Source organism: Homo sapiens, chromosome 9 (genome assembly GCF_000001405.40).
Source record: "Homo sapiens chromosome 9, GRCh38.p14 Primary Assembly".
Taxonomy (NCBI): domain Eukaryota; kingdom Metazoa; phylum Chordata; class Mammalia; order Primates; family Hominidae; genus Homo; species Homo sapiens.
The window spans coordinates 7653726-7676050 of record NC_000009.12 but is presented as its reverse complement, the minus strand read 5'-3'; the positions used below and the strand labels follow the sequence as shown (position 1 = coordinate 7676050).

The 22325-nt window shown below is 39.5% G+C and overlaps 1 long non-coding RNA gene across 1 annotated transcript in view, besides 1 other annotated feature; it reads right to left on the bottom strand.

Annotated features, from left to right (window-relative positions):
* The window catches only part of LOC124902118 (uncharacterized), a 65144-nt gene extending 46050 nt beyond the window's left edge, over positions 1-19094 (bottom strand). Inside the window, exons 1-2 of the long non-coding RNA XR_007061415.1 lie at positions 18743-19094; positions 18291-18536 (exon numbers count right to left, since the gene is read on the bottom strand). This is a non-coding gene — a long non-coding RNA (uncharacterized LOC124902118). The remainder of the gene's footprint in view (positions 1-18290; positions 18537-18742) is intronic.
* Positions 9742-10395: an enhancer, noted in NCBI's record as "NANOG hESC enhancer chr9:7665656-7666309 (GRCh37/hg19 assembly coordinates)". NCBI's record gives its function as "activates a minimal SCP1, AML or CMV promoter by ChIP-STARR-seq in naive H9 embryonic stem cells {active_cell/tissue: H9 hESC(naive)}" and the evidence as "EXISTENCE:reporter gene assay evidence [ECO:0000049][PMID:30033119]".
* Positions 19095-22325: the final 3231 nt, after the last annotated feature.

The window sequence follows — 22325 nt, the reverse complement described above, 5'->3', positions numbered from 1 at the left end:
CAAGGGATCACTCTGTGAGCCTCTGACGCCAGAAACATTGTTGGCAGCATCTAATACATTGGCTTTCTCTACCATCACTCCTCTTGCAGCTAACTTGAGCTGTGACACACAGCCATATCAAAATATAAAAGAAGGGGGTTTTATCATAGTTAATGTGCATAAAGACTTCCCCTAATTTTTTTTGAGATAGTGAGTGTCTCACTCTGTTGCCCAGGCTGGAGTGTAGTGACACTATCTCTGCTCACTGCAGCCTTTACCTCCCAGGCTCCAGCGATCCTCCCATCTCAGCCTCCCCAGTTGCTGGGACTACAGGTGCACACCACTGCACAGGGCTAATTTTTTTACTTTTTGTAAAGACAGGGTTTTGTCATGTTGCCCAGGCTGGTCTCGAACTCCTGAGCTCAAGTGATCCTCCTCCCTCAGCTTCCCGAAGTGCTGGTATTATAGGCATGAGCCACTGCACCTGGCCTACTTGCTCTAATTTTTTTTAATCCCAAACTCACATCTAAACTTCGCCCTATCTTATCCATTCTCTGCAAATGGAGCTTAATGATGCGATGAGGTTCAAGACAGAATGAAAATGCTCCCTTCATATTACTTGGAGATATATTTTTAAACTTGAAGTTTTATTACTTGTCTCTAATTCAAAAATTTCCAAACCAGAGTAGCTGTTTCAAAATGGTTTCATTAAAAGGACTGACAATTTTTTCACAAAGATTATAATCCCTCCCCTTACCTTCAGTCAGAAGGAGAGGTTTGGATGGGATTAGAGTCATAGTAAATTAGGAGGAGGGGGAGTTGAGCTGTGGAGTGATGGGTTCATCTCCACTTGACACTCTTACATCTCATTCTCATAGGTTGAGAAGCATAAAGAAATATCTATGAAATTTACTAAGCAACAGGGTTGGTGCCAAGTGGTTCCTAACCCAGAGGGTCCATGGCTTGGTGCCTATAAGTTCACAAATTCCTCGCATGGAAAGCAAGATTCTTTGCATTTATGCATATATCTAGCTTTCACCAAATTCTCAAAGGAATCATGATCCACAAAATATAAAGAATCTCAGTATAAAGATAGATAAGAAAGATCTACACTCTCCAGAAGCTTATATAGACCTGTAGCTTCACATCACTAAAGGAACAAGTCCATGCTGCTTTCCAGAACAGATGTGTTTCTAAAATTCAGAGATAAGCCACATAATATTTAAACTGTGATGGTACTTTTATAAACTAAATAATACTTCAGTAAGATGACCATAATGTATTTTATGCATTCTACATAAACTCAAATTTTGTAGGTAGTATCAAATTACACGTTAAAATTCATAGGAAACACACATAAACCACACACACACACATTTTTTGTGTTCCCAAACTTACAGGTCACAGAGGTCATACAATGTGCTCCCTGCATCATGCTTTCCTATTTCTTCTACGTCTATGCCATTCCCTTAAACTACTCTATTCCTATAGTCCAAGATACTGAGACAATTTTCTTTACCACGTCTCTTAATGACAGGGTCCTCTAGTTCAAAACTTTGACATGTATAATATGATGCATAGAGATAGTTTAATTTCTACATGATAGCAGAGAGCAATGTTATCTATGATAACCTAATTAAATAACAAACATCTATTCTGTCTCTCTCTTCCAAGGGCTTTTATCTTACCCTAGATGTAATTTTTCACTTTGCTTTAGAAATGTAGACATAAGGATCATGGAATAGCAGAAAGAATACAAGACTTAAAGTAGAGACCTGAGTTTAATTCCTGGATCCACTCTTTATCTGTTCCATAATGTGACTAAAGTCACTCATCTTCTCTGAACCTTTTTCCTCATTTGTAAAATGAGGAAATTGTACTTAAACCCTAGTGTAAGACTACAAAAAGAGTTGTTGTTAGATTAAAGAAATTGTGTATTTGAAAAAAGCTAGCACATGGGCTGATAAATAGAAAATGCTCAAGTACTTAATAAATATTACTTGAATCTGATATACAGAGAGTGAACTCAATCAAAAGTTGAAGTATTTCTCATTAGGCTGCTTTCTTTATATTTCCAATTGGGTCTAGAAACAAAACACTTGAAGAGCCTATTCTCAGAATTCTCCAAAAACACTTTTGAGTAGCTGGGATATAGAACTAAAACAAGACAAAAATCCTGGCTGTTTACAACCCACTTGCTGTGCATACTACTAGCCATACATGAAATAAATGTTTCCCATATTGCACTAGAACAAAAAATTTCAGCATATCACATCTAAATCGACATACTGGAAATATGTAAAAGATGCCTAAAACCTTTTTTTCTCTAATGGTGGAGAAATTGAGGAAGCCTTGAAAATTCCATTATGATTACCATATGATATTGGCATTTCACGTGACTCAACCTAACACGAGTACACTATGCATATGTTTTGAAATATGCATTTATGATTACAAATACTATCAAATTAATTGTGGCATTGAAACCACACTAGTGTCATCACTTTCCACAAAAGTAGATGAATGGAGGCTGCCTTTGATATGGCCCTTGCTTTCCACTCTTCTTTTCTTTCCCCTCTGGTGCCATGCTCCTCCATCTTCTGGCATGCGGCCACCTCCTTCTCAAATGTGGGGTTCTGAATCAGCAGTCTTCCTTACCTCCACATCTCTACTCATTCCTACTGGAACATTGCAGACAAGATTGGTGATCCTTTCTACCATCATCTTTTTATGGCTTCTTGATTTTCTCAACTCCAATGTCTCTAAACTTGGGACCCCATTATCAAACAGAATTGCTCTATGCCAGGGTCTGAAAGTAGAAAATGCCCCTCTCTGATCCCAACCTTTTGTATCTTTATTCTACTCTGCCCTCCCAATGGATCTGCCCTTAGCTCCATTTTCATACAATAGTTCCTCCAAGTCAGCACATCAGACACTAAAATTAGACCATGTCTTTTAGCTTTTCATGAAACCCTATGAAAACCGAACCATTAATAGGCCATATCAACATGGTCTCACCAATTTTCAAGAATCTTCCACTCTCTTGATCTTCTGTTATTCTCATGATGAACCCTGGGGCACTTCCATCATCTGCTTCTTCACATCATACTTTCAGGCAGCTGAGACTGTCTGCTGAATCCATGTTGATATAGCCTAACAGACTTCTCTTAAAATATTTTATTTTACTTTATTTTTTTAGATGGATTCTCTCTCTGTTGCCCAGACTGGAGTGCAGTGGCGTGATCTCACTGCAACCACCACCTCCTAGATTCAAGCAATTCTCCTGCCTCAGCCTTCCAAGTAGCTGGGATTACAGGCATGCACCACCACACCTGGCTAATTTTTTGTATTTTTAGTAGAGGCTGGGTATCACAATGTTTTCCAGACTGGTCTCAAGCTCCTGATCTCAAGTGATCCACCTGCCTCCGCCTCCCAAAGCGCTAAGATTGCAGGCATGATCCACCGCGCCCGGCCTAAAAAAAATTTAAATAAAAATAAAACTTAAAAAATTATTTCTCCTTTATTAAAAAAATTTTTTAAAGAAGAGCATTAAGTTCCACCACCTAAAAACTAGCAGTTATATTAACTATCAGTTTTGCTAGCATTTTTACTCATTATTTTTTCCGTACAACACGTATTTTCCTTTCATAAGTTCGTTCATTTGCTCTTTTTTCTTTTCTTCTTTTTTATTCTTTCTATCATTGTGGTGAAATAACATATAAAATTAAATTTACCATTTTAACCACTTTTAATTGTTTTCACAGTGCAGTGATATTAAGTACATTCACATTGTTTACCATCATCACCACCATCCTGCTGCTGAACATTTTAATCTCCCCAAACTGAAACTTCACACCCATTAGACAGTAACTCCCCAATCCCCCTCCCTGCAGGCCCTGGCAACCACCATTCTGCTTTCTGTCTTTATGAATTTGACTGTGCTAGGTAGCTTGTGTAAGTGGAATCATGCAATATTTGTCCTTTTTTTGCCTGGCTTATTTCACGCTGCATGTCTTCAAGGTCCATTCATGTTGCAGCACGTATCAGAATTTCCTTCCTTTTTAAGATTGCATAATAGTCTATTGTATGTATATACTATGGTTTGCTTACCCATTTATCCCATGTCTTATTTTAATAAACACCACCTTGAATACTTAATAAAGGACACATAGGAATCATGTATTTTTCTGAATATGACTGATGCTTTAATTTTGGTTCTTGTTTTTGAAGAATACTGAATACCAGCTTCAAACTCCGTGTCCTCAGAATGCGTATACATTATTTCATCTTCTAGTTTACTCACCACCCTTTCTGTGTAGGCCACTTTTCTGTTTTGTCAGAAGCATGTTTTGTTTGTGAAGTTTTAAAAAGAAAAATATAAAGATACAAAATCTCACTCCTTAATAGTCCTTCTAAGTGAGTCAATTTTATTTTAAAACTTAAGAGTCCCCTCAGCCTAGAAAAATGTTCTTCTATTTCTTCCCCTCTATCTTCTCTCACATTTTCTGGGCCATTTATTAGAAAGACATTGGATCTCATCAATGTCTTTAACAGTTCCCTCAAGAATTCTATCTCTTTGCCAAAGTTAGCTTTATATTGCTGGTAACTTTTATTTCTTCATGATCCAATTCACTATGTGTGAATATTTTTTGAATTTTCATTTTCAATATTTTTTTTTACTTATTGAAGCATCCTCATCTTTCCAAGTATATTATAGTTTTTAGAGTGCTTTTCCCCCTTTTCTCTTCATTTTCTCTGTATTCTATTTTTTTTGTTGTTTTATTATATATTATATAGCTACATTGTATCTTTTTTGTTTTATACATATGTTTTTTGACCTATGTTGTTGTTCACGTTAGATGTTCTCTTAAAAAGCCTGGCAATTCAGCCAGGCCTGGTGGCTCATGCCTGTAATCCCAGTACTTTGGGAGGCCGAGGCGGGCAGATCACAAGGTCAGGAGTTCGAGAACAGCCTGACCAACATGGTGAAACCCTGTCTCTACTAAAAATACAAAAAAATTAGCCGAGCATGGTGGCACACACCTGTAATCCCAGCTACTCAGGAGGCTGAGGCAGGAGAATCGCTTGAACCCCGGAGGGAGAGGTTGCAGTGAGCCGAGATCATGCCACTGCACTCTAACCTGGGCAACAGAGCAAGACTCTGTCTCAAAAAAAAAATGGCCTGGCAATTCTGTATTCCTGTTCATGTTTAACACCGAGGCGCTGACAATCTTAGCAAGTTTCTGGTCGGTTTCTCTGAAGGAGGCCGTGGTGGTGAGCAGACTTCAGGAGACTTGCACTGTTTTCAATATCTTGACATCTTTTTCCTTGGACCACTGGTTTCTCCAGTGAGAAATTCTCTAATATTCTGCCTGGGCATATGAATCAAAGGGTAATGAAGGAAGGAGAGAGATGGGCAATCAGCTTGGATGCCAGCATTCCGGAAACTGAAGGGGAAAAGCAGGAAGGCTGGTGGTGTGTCATTCTTACATGCTCCTTTGTTTTTCTGCCTAGTGGCTCACCCTTGTCCACAGCTGTGGTTAGGGTTCCCCAGGTCAGAGGTTAACTAACTTTTGTCTAGTTAGGGAAGTAAAGAGCCCCATTCTCACAAACAGAGAAGTGGATAGGGGTTCTAACAGCTCCTTACACAACTTTTAACCAACCCTGTTTCCAGTCCGACTCCAGCCTTCAGAAATTCCTGACAACTCTACTTTGTAGGCACTTCCAGACTTCTGGGGGCACAGACTGGCTTTCTTCTCATTCACTTTACATTTTTCAGGCCTCAGCTTCTGTGTTCTCTACTCCATTCCGTCAGTTCCCGTGGACTCATCCGCCTACCATCCTCAAAACTTTGCTGACATCCCTCTTCTGCTATCATCCCCTCTGCTGCTCCATTTGTCACTGCAGTTTTTATTTTATATTCAATTATAGTCATTTTGAAAGACTTTCAGGAGGAAGCGTTGATAAATGCTTGTGTTCATTCCTCCTAGTTTAACTGGAACCACTGATACAACTTTTTCCTTTTTTCCAGAATTTCCTTTTCTTTAAGGAATATTTAATGTTAATGCCAAGAAAACAAATGATCTCTTTTCATGTATTTCTTCTAGGCTATCTCAAGTCTTTAATTTTGTTCATTAGATTTATCTTCCTATAGAGGCATAGGATTGTGGAACTGAAAGGAATATTACAATAGCAAAATTTATTCCCTCCTTATTTAAGGAGGGAATTTATAATTATTCCCTCCTTATTTAAGGAAATAGATGCCATCTCTACCAACCTAACTCCATAAAGTTACCTGTATTTAAAATCAATATCAAAAGATATATGTCTCTATAGAAGTCACTCTGAACTCTTTTTCCTCAGATCCACATCCAGAATCTGTCCAGTCTTATTCTTTTAAATTCATAAATGTCCTTTGACTGCTGATGTCACCACCTCTGTCTCTGTCATTCCTTCCCTTTCCTTCAACTGGAAAACTACTCCTCATATTTTAAAACCCAGTGTACAAAGTCATCTCTTCTGTAATATCTTCCCTGTTCACTCCTTTCTTTGCCTCCCATGGCATTTTCCCAGTTTTTATACGTATTACCACATATTACTGCAAATATTTGTTTGATGTCAACTCTCTTTTCCATTCATTCCCTGGTTTCCTCCCAGGCAAGAGTAACATCACCCCTCCCCGTAGCCAAGCCATGCATCAGACTTGAGGATGCACTCAGTGAAAATGTGCTGTGTGAATGAAAAAGAACACCCATGACGTGACAGGTTTTAAAAATGTGATATTTGTTAGCAAGAGAATAAAATAATAACAGCGAGAGATCATTCCAAAGAATGACTCTCAAGTAACCCGCACAGCTCTTCATATAGTTCTAGATGAATATATATCTATACTTATACCTGTATCTGTATCTATATAGATTTTATTCACATATCTTCTATACATGTTGAATGCAGCATTAGTGCAAATCCTGATAACTTGGACCTTTAATTACATGAACTTGTTACTAAGTCTAATTTCAGAAGATGGGCTTATGCATAAAAAGAAAAAGGAAGCTAGGATTAAGGAAAAAGTTAAAGATGATGGTAGTTTCTGGTGTAATTAGATGTTAGCTATTATTACCCATCCCTTTAAAATCTATGTAGCATTAGCTTGAACTCCCATTTCATGTTTTGTGGTAAGTATGCTCTCCCTAGGATTAATCTACATTTTCTGGGCTTGGGGAGTAGTAACCATAGTCACCCATAGCTTTGACTTTATGATTCAACTAAATTATTTTATTCTGTGGAGCAAAATTTTATTGACAGGGTGTGGATCACTAAGGTGGGTATATTACTCTGTAGTAGTCAGAGTTCTCAGAGAAACAGAACCCACAGGATGTACATATATAATTAATTGTGTGTGTGTGTGTGTGTGTGTGTGTGTGCCAATTGGGTGAGCCAGTTCCTTAAAATAAATCTCTCTTTCTAAGGAATTTATTTTAAGAAATTGGCTCATCAGCTTAAGGAGATTTTGGGCTGAGACGATGGGGTTTTCTAGATAAACAATCATGTCGTCTGCAAACAGGGACAATTTGACTTCCTCTTTTCCCAATTGAATACCCTTTATTTCCTTCTCCTGCCTGATTGCCCTGGCCAGAACTTCCAACACTATGTTGAATAGGAGCGGTGAGAGAGGGCATCCCTGTCTTGTGCCAGTTTTCAAAGGGAATGCTTCCAGTTTTTGCCCATTCAGTATGATATTGGCTGTGGGTTTGTCATAGATAGCTCTTATTATTTTGAAGTACGTCCCATCAATACCTAATTTATTGAGAGTTTTTAGCATGAAGGGTTGTTGAATTTTGTCAAAGGCTTTTTCTGCATCTATTGAGATAATCATGTGGTTTTTGTCTTTGGCTCTGTTTATATGCTGGATTACATTTATTGATTTGTGTATATTGAACCAGCCTTGCATCCCAGGGATGAAGCCCACTTGATCATGGTGGATAAGCTTTTTGATGTGCTGCTGGATTCGGTTTGCCAGTATTTTATTGAGGATTTTTGCATCAATGTTCATCAAGGATATTGGTCTAAAATTCTCTTTTTTGGTTGTGTCTCTGCCCGGCTTTGGTATCAGAATGATGCTGGCCTCATAAAATGAGTTAGGGAGGATTCCCTCTTTTTCTATTGATTGGAATAGTTTCAGAAGGAATGGTACCAGTTCCTCCTTGTACCTCTGGTAGAATTCGGCTGTGAATCCATCTGGTCCTGGACTCTTTTTGGTTGGTAAACTATTGATTATTGCCACAATTTCAGCTCCTGTAATGCTCATCATCACTGGCCATCAGAGAAATGCAAATCAAAACCACTATGAGATATCATCTCACACCAGTTAGAATGGCAATCATTAAAAAGTCAGGAAACAACAGGTACTGGAGAGGATGTGGAGAAATAGGAACACTTTTACACTGTTGGTGGGACTGTAAACTAGTTCAACCATTGTGGAAGTCAGTGTGGCGATTCCTCAGGGATCTAGAACTAGAAATACCATTTGACCCAGCCATCCCATTACTGGGTATATACCCAAAGGACTATAAATCATGCTGCTATAAAGACACATGTACACGTATGTTTATTGTGGCATTATTCACAATAGCAAAGACTTGGAACCAACCCAAATGTCCAACAATGATAGACTGGATTAAGAAAATGTGGCACATATACAACATGGAATACTATGCAGCCATAAAAAATGATGAGTTCATGTCCTTTGTAGGGACATGGATGAAACTGGAAACCATCATTCTCAGTAAACTATCGCAAGAACAAAAAAACAAACACCGCATATTCTCACTCATAGGTGGAAATTGAACGATGAGATCACATGGACACAGGAAGGGGAATATCACACTCTGGGGACGGTGGTGGGGTGGGGGGAGGGGGGAGGGATAGCATTGGGAGATATACCTAATGCTAGATGACGAGTTAGTGGGTGCAGCGCACCAGCATGGCACATGTATACATATGTAACTAACCTGCACAATGTGCACATGTACCCTAAAACTTAAAGTATAATAAAAAAAAAAAAAAAAAGAAAAAAGAAATTGGCTCACACAACTGTGGAGGCTGGCAAGTCCAAAATCCATAAGGTAGGCCGGCAGGCTGGCAGATTTCCCTCTTTCTTGGGGGAGGTCAGTCTTTCTTCTCTTAAGGCCTTCAACTGATTGGGTGAGGTTAGTCCACATTATAAAGGACAATCTGCTTTACTCAAAGTCTACTGTTGTTAACCTCATCTAAAAAATACCTTTACTGCAATATCCAAACTAGTATTTGGCCAAATACTTGGGTACTATGGCCTAGCCAAGTTGACACATAAAACTAACCATCATGCACTTCAACACATAGCTGTGTATATTCCTTTTACTAAATTAAGCTTGGTGTATAAAACGCTGGAATCCATATTCTTAACAAGCACCCCAGAAAGGCCTTATTTCAAATAAAGGAGGAACACCAAGGTTATAGTTGCCTGAGTAAAACTGCTCCAGCCCCACTCCAGGCATATTAAATCAGAATTTCTGGATAGGATCTGAGCTTGCTTCCTCAAGCTTATAAAGCACTCTAGCTGATAATAATGTATCAGGATTGAGAATTATTGATTCACTGGCAAACTCCTAATTCTGAACTACCTTTATAATCTCAAATCTTTCAGGGTACACAGATTACTCCTTTAGCAGTAAAAGGATGGACAAGATCCACTTTCCTTAGATGCAAGTTATGCTTTTAAATTGCATTTCCCCTCCTTATGATGTTTCTTATCATGTACAATTTTTAAATAGCCCTTCTAGGATCTGCTTCTCTAGCTGTATATAATTCTATAAAACTTCTCCCACCATTTTACCAATTCCCTGCTCCTTTCACTGATGAGTGGCAGAGGCTGCATTCCTGACGATTCATGAGGTTTTCGCAACATCACTTAACGCCCAGCATCAAGTGAGGTCTGATTTGGACCCATCTGATCTCCTTAGCAGCTGAGATTGGAGAGCAGGGGCATTAATCACACACCTAATCCACAACAAGCAACTGCATGGGTTTGTTCTCATGGAAGATAAAGTTCTCCTTGGGGAGCTAGAGATTGACAGTCACTAAGGCCAAGTGCTAACAAAGGAATTCTTTGGGTCTTTTATTTGTTTTTTAGAACTCCACTGGATCAAGCACTTTAGTAACCTCACAATCTTCACATACTTACGTTGAAACAAAGGAACTGCCAACATTTTCAAATATGAACTGCACTTTTTAGGATAAGTTGTTTGTTGATGATGCTGTTTTTGATTTTTGGTGCAGTTATTTTTTCCTTGAAATACACAAGAGTGTTTGAAACTGAAGATTGAAGTAATTTTCCAAGATGATAAACAGTTTTCTAAACAGTAAGAGCCACTAGAGCTATCACAAAAAAGTTAGCCTACAAACTGCAATTGTTTCTCAACCTTACTCTTCCTTGAGCCCATCACACAAATCAGGAGACAGGATGCAAAAGCCAGGAAAGGGTTTCACCTGCCAGCATTGTTTACACTGCTCAATGGGGTTTTCAGAAAGGAATTTGGATATTTCAGACGAAGACACTGAGGTCCAGAGAGGTAAATTGTCAACCTTCCCAATTTCACTTAGATAGACTCAGGATCTGATTCAAGAATCCTAATTCCCTGTGTGTTATTATTTCATTTCATTTCTCCATGCTGAACCTCTCTACTGAGCTTCAAATATAAATTTCCAATTGTATGCTCAATGTCTCTGCTGGGCTGTGCTCTGGACACTTCATTCCCAACATGTCCAAAAACAAATTTAGGATCTTTTCCTTCAGCTGTCACTTTCTCTCCCTTCTGAGTTTGCTATCCTATCTAATCACAGTATGAACTAATTCTTAAAATCTACAACCCTGTGAATCCTCCCTGAATCCTCTTTCCACTTCCTTATTTATCAATTTGACCTCTTGAAATATATCTGGAATCCCTTCTATTACTATACTTCTCCTTCTTCCCATTACTTGAATGCAGCCATTACATCTTAATAGGTCCTTTCGGTTGCAGCCAATTTCTTCTCTAAGCCTCCCTCTATTTCAATGGCCAAGAATTAATTTGGGAATCTGGCCCAAACTGGAAAGATTCTGCCCTTTGGGCTAGACCCACATTTTGATTATTTTAATCATAATGGCGTGATAATGTCAGGATATCAAGAAATAGAAACCAGTAAACAGATTTACCCACACCCTTTTATCTCCTACTAAATGCAATGCCTAAATTATAATTAGATATATTACAAATTACTTTTTGCCTCTTTTGCCTGAATGTGAAAAACTTTGTGTCTGTGTTGTCCTAGACACTTGCAGGCTTGGACATAGTATATATCAAATATCAACTAACGGAGTTTTACGTTCAGAACTAGTCCCTGGAGTTAAGTCTTATTGGTCCTTTAGCAGGGTCCAAAATCCCAGAAGAGAAGAGAATTTTCAGATGTTATTATTCTCTTTGGGACAAAAATACAGATATCTTACATGATAAAAAAACAGTTTGGCAGATTCCAAGAAAAAATAGTCAAAATGGAATAATATCCTCTACCATCATAAGAAGGAAGATTGTTATAATATGGGGTGAGTTATGACTCAAATCCCCCCGTAAGGGTTTCACCAGAATTCTCCATAATGTATTATTTGTATAAGCAAAGTCTTAATCCTATAGCACAAAACCTTCACAATCATGGATGCAGCAATAATTTGGTCTTATTTTTTACTATTGTCCTACCAATACTTATTCACCCATCTCAGACTAGTCTACTAATTTATGGCATAAATAAACACTTGTTATATGATTCATTTCTTTGTTCAGGCTGTTCTCTTTGCTTAAGTGCCCTTCCAGTCACAATGTACAGAAATCCTGCTCTTTCTTTCTTCCTTCTTTTTTTTTTTTTTCTGAGACAGGGTGTCATGCATTGCCCCAGCTGGAGTGCAGTGGGACAATCACAGCTCACTGCAGCCTCAACCACCCGGACTCAAGTAACACCTGCCTCAGCCTTCCGAATAGCTGGAACTACAGGCATATGCCACCACGCTCAGTTAATTTTTGTATTTTTTGTAGAGATGGGGTTTCACCATATTGCCTAGGCTGGTATTGAACTCCTGGACTCAAGCAATCCACTCTCCTTGACCTCTCAGAGTGCTGAGATTACAGGCGTGAGTCACTACGCCCAATCCCGCTCTTTAAAGTCCAGCTCCTCTGTCATCTTTTATTCTCCATAATATCCATTTCCCACCAAAATACATTTTAAAAAATCAATGTTTCCTCTGTTTTACAGTGTCCCTTTGTTTCTGTCAGTAGCTTAACACTTAGCTCTTTGCATTGAACTTGTGTGCAGTAGACTAGAGGTTCCTAGAAGACAAAACTGCAGCTTCTTTGTCTTTGGGTACATGGTACCTGGTACAGAGAAGCCAGTCAGTAAATGTTTGTGGAAATGAAATGCAAAATCATCTTCTGTTTTTCAGGTTCCATATCTGGGTAATATTAGTGACCCCAGATTTGGAAGGTTGCTGTAATCTACAAATATTGAACATTGTCTCTGGAAGGCCGACAGTATGTAAAGACTAAATGAGATAAAGAAAGGAGAAAGGCTTGGTGAACAGTAGGAAAACAAACAAACAAAATCAAGGTATAATTATTATCAGAATTTCCCTAAACCTATGACCAATGATTTTTAAAGATAAAGTAAGAAAAACACACGAAGACCCAACATTCTCTGATGCTGCACAGATACAGCCTGGAGAATGACAGCCATCCTGTTGAACACTTAAAGGACAAATCTTCTTCCTTCAGTGAATGCCTGAAAAGGGGGTGAGAAAGAAAGGTAGGGAAGAAAAGAAAGGGTAAATGCAGTTTGCAAAAGTAAAGCTTGTTGAGAAGAAATGGATGTGAGAAAAGAGCTAGAAAAGAAAAAAACTGAGAAAGAAGAAAACAACCAAGAAAGACGGATGAAGAAAGAAGGGAGTAAGAAGAAAAAGGAAGGAAACGAATATATCCACAGGGTATTTGCTCTGCATTAGCTGGGCAACATGCTTCTTTATGTAGGTGTAGAAATGAGAAAGGTTGATGGAGACAGAAAAGCTGAGGCAGGTGTTATTGGGTTGAGAATCCTTTGGGTTCATTTAGGCAGTTCATTTCCCAAGGTGCAGCTCCTAGACAGGCATTTCCAGTGACGCCAACTCTCCCTTATGAGATATCATAAAGCCTACTTAAAGAGAGGAAACCTAAAGTGCAGTAGGAAAGATTTATTAGTAATGTTGTAAATAAAATATGTTTCCTTTTGCTTGAACGATCTCAGGAGATCTGTCTCTTGCTCTGTCGTCAGGCCGGAGTTTCTGAAGGGCGTCTCTGGAGAGCACTTTTCGGAATGCGATCAGCTGTACATCTGTCCCTAGGCACCATTAACTTAGACGCAGCCCCAATTTGGATTGGAAAAAAGCTAAATCTTTTAAAAATATGGTCTTTTTGATAAGACCCAAGAGGGGTAAATATATACATATATACATATATATTGCAAACCAAATAGCGTATTTTCTCTAAGAAGTCAGCATTTTTCATGCGCCCTCCATGAGACAGGGGCTCCCCCTTTACAAGCTGTGAACCTTTGTTCTGTTCGTTCACACAGCAGGATCATTTTTGTCCACCCACACCTGGACCAGGCCTGCCTGAGAATTGCTCAGCTAATGACCCTGCACTGGCCAGATTTGCTTTGTGTGGAATTGACTTTCACAGACAAACTTTTTTTCTCTCTAAGATGACTTCCCTCCACTTCAGATTCTTGTTCTTAACATATTTTGCACAGAAATAAGGGATTTTAGAGTTTGGGAATATGGGAGAGAAAAGAGAGATAAATGGACCAAAGTTCTCCAGGTGTAAACAAGCATAGTAAGTTCATGCACTTACTGAAACTGCTTTCTCACTCTTGACTGTGTACTGGCCCCATGAAACACGTGTGTTTCAGAAAGGAAAGTAACAATAGCGGCCATTTATTAAGCATCTATTTCATGACAGGTACTGAGATAAATGCTTTCCCTTTGTCTTCAATTTTATCCTCACAACAACTGTGGATATTCTTATCATCCCCTTTTTACAGATCCCCTAATTCAGCCTTAATGAGGTTAAGGAACTTGCCCAAGGTTACAGAGTTAATCCCAAGTGGCAGGTCCAGTACTACTGTGGTCGGAATGTTTGTGTCCTCCCCCAAAATTACTATGTCAAAACTTAATCGTCAAGGTGATAGTATTAGGAGGTGGGGCCTTTGGGAGGTAATCAGGTCATAGTAGCAAAGGCCTCGTGAATGGGACTAGTGTTCTGATAAAAGAGGCCCCAGAAAACCTCCTTGCCCCTTGCACTATATGATGACATAGCAAGAAGACCCCATCTATGAACCAGAAATGGGGCCCTCACCAGACATTGAATCTGCCAGCACCTTCATCTTGAACTTCCAGCCTCAAGAACTATGAAAAATAAATGCCTGTTAGTGAAAAGCTACCCAGTTTATGGTATTTTGTTGTGGCAACCCTAACAGGCTAAGTACTAAATTGAGATGTTCTTAATGACTACACTAAGCTGCCCAAAGAGCAACTATCAAAAACAAAAATTATTTTTAAATGTATTAGATTCTCCTTTCCTGTACTTGAGAAATAACACTTCTCCAACATCCTGGGATATGCCATGGCAAGGCCTACCTGTGTACTTCTGTGTTTTTAAGGCATTCTCACAGGTTAATTTTATTCTCCAACAAATATATGGAATAGTTAGAGAAGGTTTTGAGCTTATCGATAGATAAAATAACGTGAATTTTATTTGGGGACTATCTCGGCCAAATGCCATAAGCTTTGCTAGCACTACAGAGTGCACTGACACGTAGTAGGTATTCAATAAACATTGGAGGAATTAATGAAGGGAACCAAGGAACATGATACCAGCCAGGACTTCCTTGGATATCTTCCTGAAGTCACTGAAGAAACACTGAAGGATTAAATATGGAGAAGGATGTGAAGGAGGCAATGAAAAGCAGGGAGACCTAGAAGAAGCCTGCTGCAGTTATCCAGGCAGGAATGGGGCTTCCTCAAGTCAGATTTTATTGTGGAAATGGAGATGATTAAGCAGGTTTGTGAGACAGTAAAAAATTAGAAATGACAGGACTTGGTTAACTATGAATGGTCAGAGGGAGGAAACACTCATAAATATTAATGTCTGAGATTTTAGAAAAAGAGGGTGAGTGAATGGCCTCTTCTCCATATGCTGTATGTATTTTTACCTATTCCCCCATTACGGTAATCATCTTATGGAACTTAAATTGTTCTTTTACAAGCCCATCTCCTTTATTAGATCCTCACCTCCTTGAAGGTGAGGAGCATGTGTAACTCATTGCTATATCCCCTAATGTTTAATGTTTGCTATAAAATGGGTAAGAATTAAGAAATAATTCAGACGTGATTCGCCCTCAGGCCAGGTGGACATCAATTCCTTTCTTTGCTGTCTGTTCCTCAGGCCACCTTTCCTGTACCAACTTAGACTTTTGCACGAATGAGATCCCTTCAGGTTAGATTCTGCTTGAAGGGAATTGCTCTTATTGCCACAAAAATGAGCACAGGTCTAGAGGCCCAAGGCCAAAATAAAATCAGCCTATGGACAAATAGTAACCTTAACTTGAATTACAAAACATGAACTGGTGCTGTACTTCCCCAAGTCCCTGAGGCTTGGTGCCTTCAGATGCATCATTGTTAAGCCATAAATGAATAAGGCAAGGTCTGAGAGAGAGAGCTGCAGACAGGTAAGAGTGATAAGGGTCTAATAAATTTTTTTATCTGAACTTTCTGTAAAGCAAAATGAGCCAACCTCCTTTCATTGTCCTGAGCTGAATGTGTATGTGCCTGTGCATACGCATGCATGAGCACATATCGCCCCAGATAGAATAAAGATACTAGCAAATTTGGTTGCCATAATCTCCCATTACCTAATTTTCTAATTACACACATACCCAAACATGGTCATATCTCTTTAAATGGAAAATGATGTGAATTTTCTTTGAAGATTTAAAGCTTGAAATTGTCATACTCAGCATATATATTTTGCACAACCATTATTTTTCACGAGGTAGCAAACCACAGCTTAACAGAACCAAAAAATTGCTTCTGTTATATGGGGACTTCAATTTCTAATAACAGTGCAATGGGAAATAATCATTTTCCCCTGCCCATTCAACGTATATACTGAGCAAGGCAAGATACCAACCAGTGCCTTCAGCTACTTATTCAGGACCAGGCCCAGCCAGATAGCAGAGGGAAGGCTGCAGAGGAGATATAAATAGCCTAATAACCATTTTTTTTTCTCTTACTACCCTCTCTTACTCCTCACCTTTTACTTTTACTCCTTTTCACTGAAAACTAACATTTATTCACTTGTCTTCTGTATCAATGCTCTTGAGACAAATAGCCCACCTCGCTTTATTGGGATTGCCTATGTTTTTGGCAAAAGTGCCTCAGTCAGAAGGGGGGAGCAATCTCTAGACTAGAAAGCCTACAAGCTTATACCAACTGCCCACTCCTCAGCATGCTGATATGAGTGCATCAGGAGACATTTTTAGTTTTAAAAAAGGGAGAGAGAAATCACTAAGTGTAACACATTCAGCATCAGCGAAAACATCATTGAGTAGACCCACAGTCACTCAATATTATTTAATATTACCAGCTACGGTTCATGTAGAGACTTTTGGTCACATAGGTATAGAACCAAATTCAACTCTCACATTCACTAGGTCTGTGACCTCAGGAAGGTAATATGACTTCCTAGAGCCTCAATGTTATTGTTTGTAAAACTGGGTAGTAATAGCTATCTTGTGTGTTTGTGGTGTATCTGACACAGTATTTGGCTTATATTAGGTGTACCATAATTGGCAGTTAACATTAATGTTATTGTTATTATATTATTAAATCAGGATCCTCCATTCATATAGGAGGATCTATATCCTCAGCTATTGGCCTATTTATCTCCCATCAGCAAGGATACATTGTTCATTAAGACATCTCATTTTAGCCTGGCCCACCTAGGGCACTCTAAGCTCCCCTTTCGCATACATGGAATTGACAAGAAGACTCATTGTCCCTATCCATAGACTCCAAGGATTATAGCCTTCTTAGGAAACTCTAAGGTGGTTTCCTTTGTGCAAAGCTCAGCTACCTCTAAGTAGCAAAAGCTCACTCAGCAACAGGATCACAGAGTGAAGTTTCTTCTCATTCTCTGCTGAAACCTGCTATGTATTAACTTAGCTGTGTCACCTAAAAGCTGCTTCTTCATCTTGTATCTCCATGTGGTTGCATAGAGCTTGGTACATAGTAGGTACCCAGTAAATGATTAATGGATTAAATTTTCTTTTTCTTTTTTTTTTTTTTTTTAGCTTCTGGAAACATCCACATCATGATTAAATATCTTTTCCAAGTTCTAAAGAACCACTATCCTAAATTAGGACTTTGGGGAATCATTCAAAAAGAAAAGGTGTGAGAATTGGGTAGGTACTCCAACAGTATCTACTACATTATTCTACCCAGAGTCTTCTGCAAAACTCACCTTCTTCCTTATTTGTTCTACATTTAGGGTAATGTTGGCCATTCTGATCACCTGGCAATAACAGACTTTTTTTTTTTTTTTTTTTTTTTTTTGAGATGGAGTCTCGCTCTGTCGCCCAGGCCAGAGTGCAGTGGCACGATCTCAGCTCACTGCAGCCTCCACCTCCCCGGTTCAAGCAATTCTCCTGCCTCAGCCTCCCGAGTAGCTGGGACTACAGGCACGCACGCCACGCCCGGCTAATTTTTGTATTTTTAGTAGAGACGGGGTTTCACCATGTTGGCCAGGATGATCTTGATCTCTTGACCTCGTGATCCACCCGCCTCAGCCTCCCAAAGTGCTGGGATTATAGGCGTGAGCCGCCGCGCCCGAACCCAGCCAGGCTTGTAAACTTCACGTGATGGAGGTTATTTCCAACCAGAGGCTATACTGGCAATTTGTTTAAGCTGCCACCTGGTGGCGCTTGATTTATGCCCTCAAGATCTGGAAAGCCTAGCTCCCCACAGGCAAGATAACAGAATACAAAAAAAATAGAGCACATTTGCAACACACTTTTGAATTAACCTGGGCAATTCCTCTAAAAATTAAAATTGTAGAAATCTCAAAGTTGAATTTCTATTATATTGCATTAAGTTGGAAATCATATATTAAGCACTTATTTGAGTTATACTCATGATAAATCGTACCAAAGGGACTTACAATAAAGTTGTAAAATTGTGGATGGTCTCGATCTCCTGACCTCGTGATCTGCCCGTCTCGGCCTCCCAAAGTGCTGGGATTACAGGCGTGAGCCACCGTGCCCAGCCAATCGTTTGAACCAAAAGTTTGAAGTTTTTCAGTTAGTTCCTTTCTTGTGAATTTGAAAAATACAGTATATTTGCCTTGCGTATTTCTCGAAGTAATTGTGAAGATTCAATGAAATAATGATGTGAAAGTCTTTGTAATCTGTGAAGTGAAACACAAATGTTAGTCATTAGTGTTATTTCTCCAGTCTTCCCTAGAGCAAGACAGAGAGGCCTTCTAGAGACACATTCCATTAGCTAGAACGTCAACATTTCTGCATTGATCACTATATTCTAAAAGAGTACACATGAAAAGATATGCAACTTCCATAATATTGGGCAAGAAATGTTAAAAAAATGAACACTCACACATTCTGAGCTGCCACAGCCAGGAAAGAGGAGGTTGTCTAATGATATTTATCTGCAGGAAGTCAGAAGTATCATAGATAGATATTTCTTCCCAAAGTAGGAAAGCAGTTTTCAATTTGGACTTTAATTAGAAAGTGATTCTTTTCCCCCAAGGGAGTTTAAATTACCCCCATCCTTTGTCATAGCCTGTTGGAGAAGGATGTGTGCACACCCAGGGAGAACACCCAGATTGAGAAGGCAACAACATGGAGCATCATGTAGTTATTCCTGGTCCAAAAAGAGAGGCAGAGCTTCGTTCTCTGCTGCACTGAGTCCCTAGGTCCCAGACCTGACCTACCACCCAGCCAGAAACAACAAAAAAAGGAAGAAAATATTTAAAACAATGGCTTTCACACATTAAACAACCTACAGTCTAGGACCGTGATCCTTTAGAGAAAGAAAACAAAGGGAGCCCTGTGAATAACTTGGCTTTCTGCCTGGAAGCACGTGAATCAGGGAAGGACACGCCAAGCACAGTACAACCATCTTGCTGAGTTGAGGAGGGAGATCAGAGTTGGTGACGAATGAGAGGGCTCAAATTTGAGGGTCAGAGTACTGGAGAGGAAGGAGACACACAGAGGAAGAACTTCAGAAACCTGTGAAAGAGTCCCCTGGCAACTGTGCCAAATACTAAGCTGTAGATGTGTAGGGTAACACTCCACAAGTCAGTCAAAGAACTACTTCTACCAGGAGCTGTAAGCTGAACAATTCCAAAAGTTCACATAAGGTATACGGTAGGGGTGTGTGTGTGTGTGTGTGTGTGTGTGTGTGTGTGTGTGTGTGTGAGAGAGAGAGAGAGAAAGAAAGATACACAAACAGAGACGGAGGCAGACAAGGATCAAGCATCCTGAGGTTCATTAATGTGTGATAATAATGGAATCCAGAAGAGTATCAATGGAATCTAATTTCAAAGAGAAGATTAGACCAAAATATAGACTATTATCTTGATAAGATGCCTGCATTAAGCTAGAATCTATTATAATTAATACACAGTATTACAAAATGTGGGGTCAGTGATTCTCAACAAATCTTTGGGCGGCTTTGTAAAGTCCTCAGCTATAAAATCATTGGGTTATTGTTATAAGTATAGATTTTATGTAACTATTCTGGCAGGAATCAGAATTATGTGCCTGGAATGAGGAAAACCAAATGAGCACAGAGCTGATTTTTATCTTGTGAGCATCCCTTCTTTTTTATCAGTTACTTATATAAGCATGCTTCCATTGTGTGCCCTGGTTCTTCTCCAAAACCAACCTGAGTCTTCAACCAACCTGGCTGTTCCTCATGACCTGAAGGATAAGGACATGACCTCCAGGATTTCAGACACCTGTCTTTATTATTTACTGCCCATGTCATGGTTGTGGTATATACTCTTAGTAAAACTCCTAGTAAGCAGTAACCTTACCAGATCCTTCCTGACAATTTTTTTTTTATTCTGGAATCCTATACATCAAAGATATACAATAGATTATAAAAATTTTCTAAGTCAATATCATACCGTAGAGAGATAACAATTCTGAAGAGCCCAAGATCACAAACCAGCTTATGCCAGAGAGATGGCCTTTCTGCTTAAAGACCATATCAGCAAAGAGAGCCAGACCCCTATTTAGACTTTCCTACTTGGTCAAAATGTTCCTTGTGGAAGGGATTAATAACAGGGAAATAGAAAACCTGGTCAGTATGGTTAGCCTGCTCCTCACAAGCTCGCAACATATCCCAGAGGAGTGGGTGCTCTGTCTCCTTTGTTAGATGTCAGAATCACACCTGCCCTAACTTCCTTCCTCCATTAAACATTTGCTGAGTATTACAGCAAGTGGATCAGTCATGATTGCGAGGTGTTGAAAAAGAAGAAAATGTGTGTATTTCATTTGCTTTCTTTAGTAACTTCAACATTACCTATATGCCATGTAGCCTTAAAATGGCCATCAGCAGGAAGTCAGAAAAGCTAGCAATGAAGATAAAGAATGCCACTAAACTGCAACTGTCATGAAAACAAGAACCAAGTCTGATTTTACACAACTGTACCCTCAACATAGAGCATAATTTCTGGCATATAGTAGGTGCTCAAGAAATTTAAGTTCTTGTGTACCTCCTCACTTTCTCCATCCTCATTCAGACAAGCAGGTCTCTGTCATTCATCTGTCCATTCATTATTGACTATCTTCCATAATCCTGGCACTTTATATATTGTATATATGTCGGCTAAGGTTCAACCAGGGAAACCAAACCACTAAAAGATTCTCATTCTCTCTCTCGTGTGTGTGTGTGTGTGTGTGTGTGTGCCTGCATGTGGTGTGTTTTTATAAAAAGATTTGTTACAGACATTGGACTTATGCGGCCGTGGGAGCGGGTTAAGTGGTCCCAGTAAGTTTGTTGTCTTCAGGACTGATGCTAACAATTGAAGTCCACAGGCCAGACAGTGGGGAAAATAAGATGGATGTTAAATAAGAGACAGCCTGGATAAGTCAGAAGGCACAAACACAAGCTGGAGCTCACGAGAATGAACTGGAACCTTCCAGTTGCTGTCGCCCCCAATCTTGATCTCATCGTTAGTAACGGGTAAAACTGGGATGTAATGACAAAGTTCCCTTTCCACTCCAGCATTACAGAAAAAAAAAAACCGAGGGCCGGGCGGGATGGCTCACGCCTGTAATCCTAGCACTTTGGGAGGCCAAGGCACGTGGATCACCTGAGGTTAGGAGTTCGAGACCAGCCTGGCCAACGTGACGAAACCCCATCTCTACTACAAATATAAAAATTAGCCTGATGTGTTGGCACACGCCTGTAATCCCAGCTATCGGGAGGCTGAGGGAGGAGAATCACTTAAACCTGGGGCGGGGGGCTGCTGGCGGAGGTTGCAGTTAGTCAAGTTTGCGCCGTTGTGCTACAGTTTGGGCAACAAGAGTGAAACCCCAGCTCAAATATAACATCTACATAGATGCTAACAGGAAACAGAGTGAATGGACCAACACCCTGTTTTAGGACACAGCAAAACACAAGAGTAGACATTAGGAAAGAGTTAATCACTGCTAGAGCACGGTTGTAACTAAAAACCTAGTGAGCAAGAGAGACATTGGAGGCACTTCTAGTAAGACAAAGAAGCCCTGCCTTTGAAAAATGAGGATTAAATCTTCTAGAGGAATCAAGATGGGCAGAGCCACCACACAATTGCAAGAAACACAATTCATACAGAATGTAATGTAAACATGCCACTAGAATTGTGCAACACAATGGTTCTGAAGTCAGCAGGCCATTTGCTAGACTGTTTAGCTATACATACACTGCAGAGAACACTACAACTTCAAACAAGTTGGGACAATTTTATAAGTAGATAAATACTCAAGAGGGACTACTCTGATTTGCATGGATATTTACATGTTAATCAGTCCTTCCCACCCAAAAGTACACACACAAACACACACATATCCCCCACATAAGCTTCCCCCATGCAGAAAAAGTTGAGAACTAGAATGTGAATTTGTTTATGCTCTGTGGCTATTGGTGCTGCTAATACTGTCATACATGTGTTTGACAGGCTGTGTAG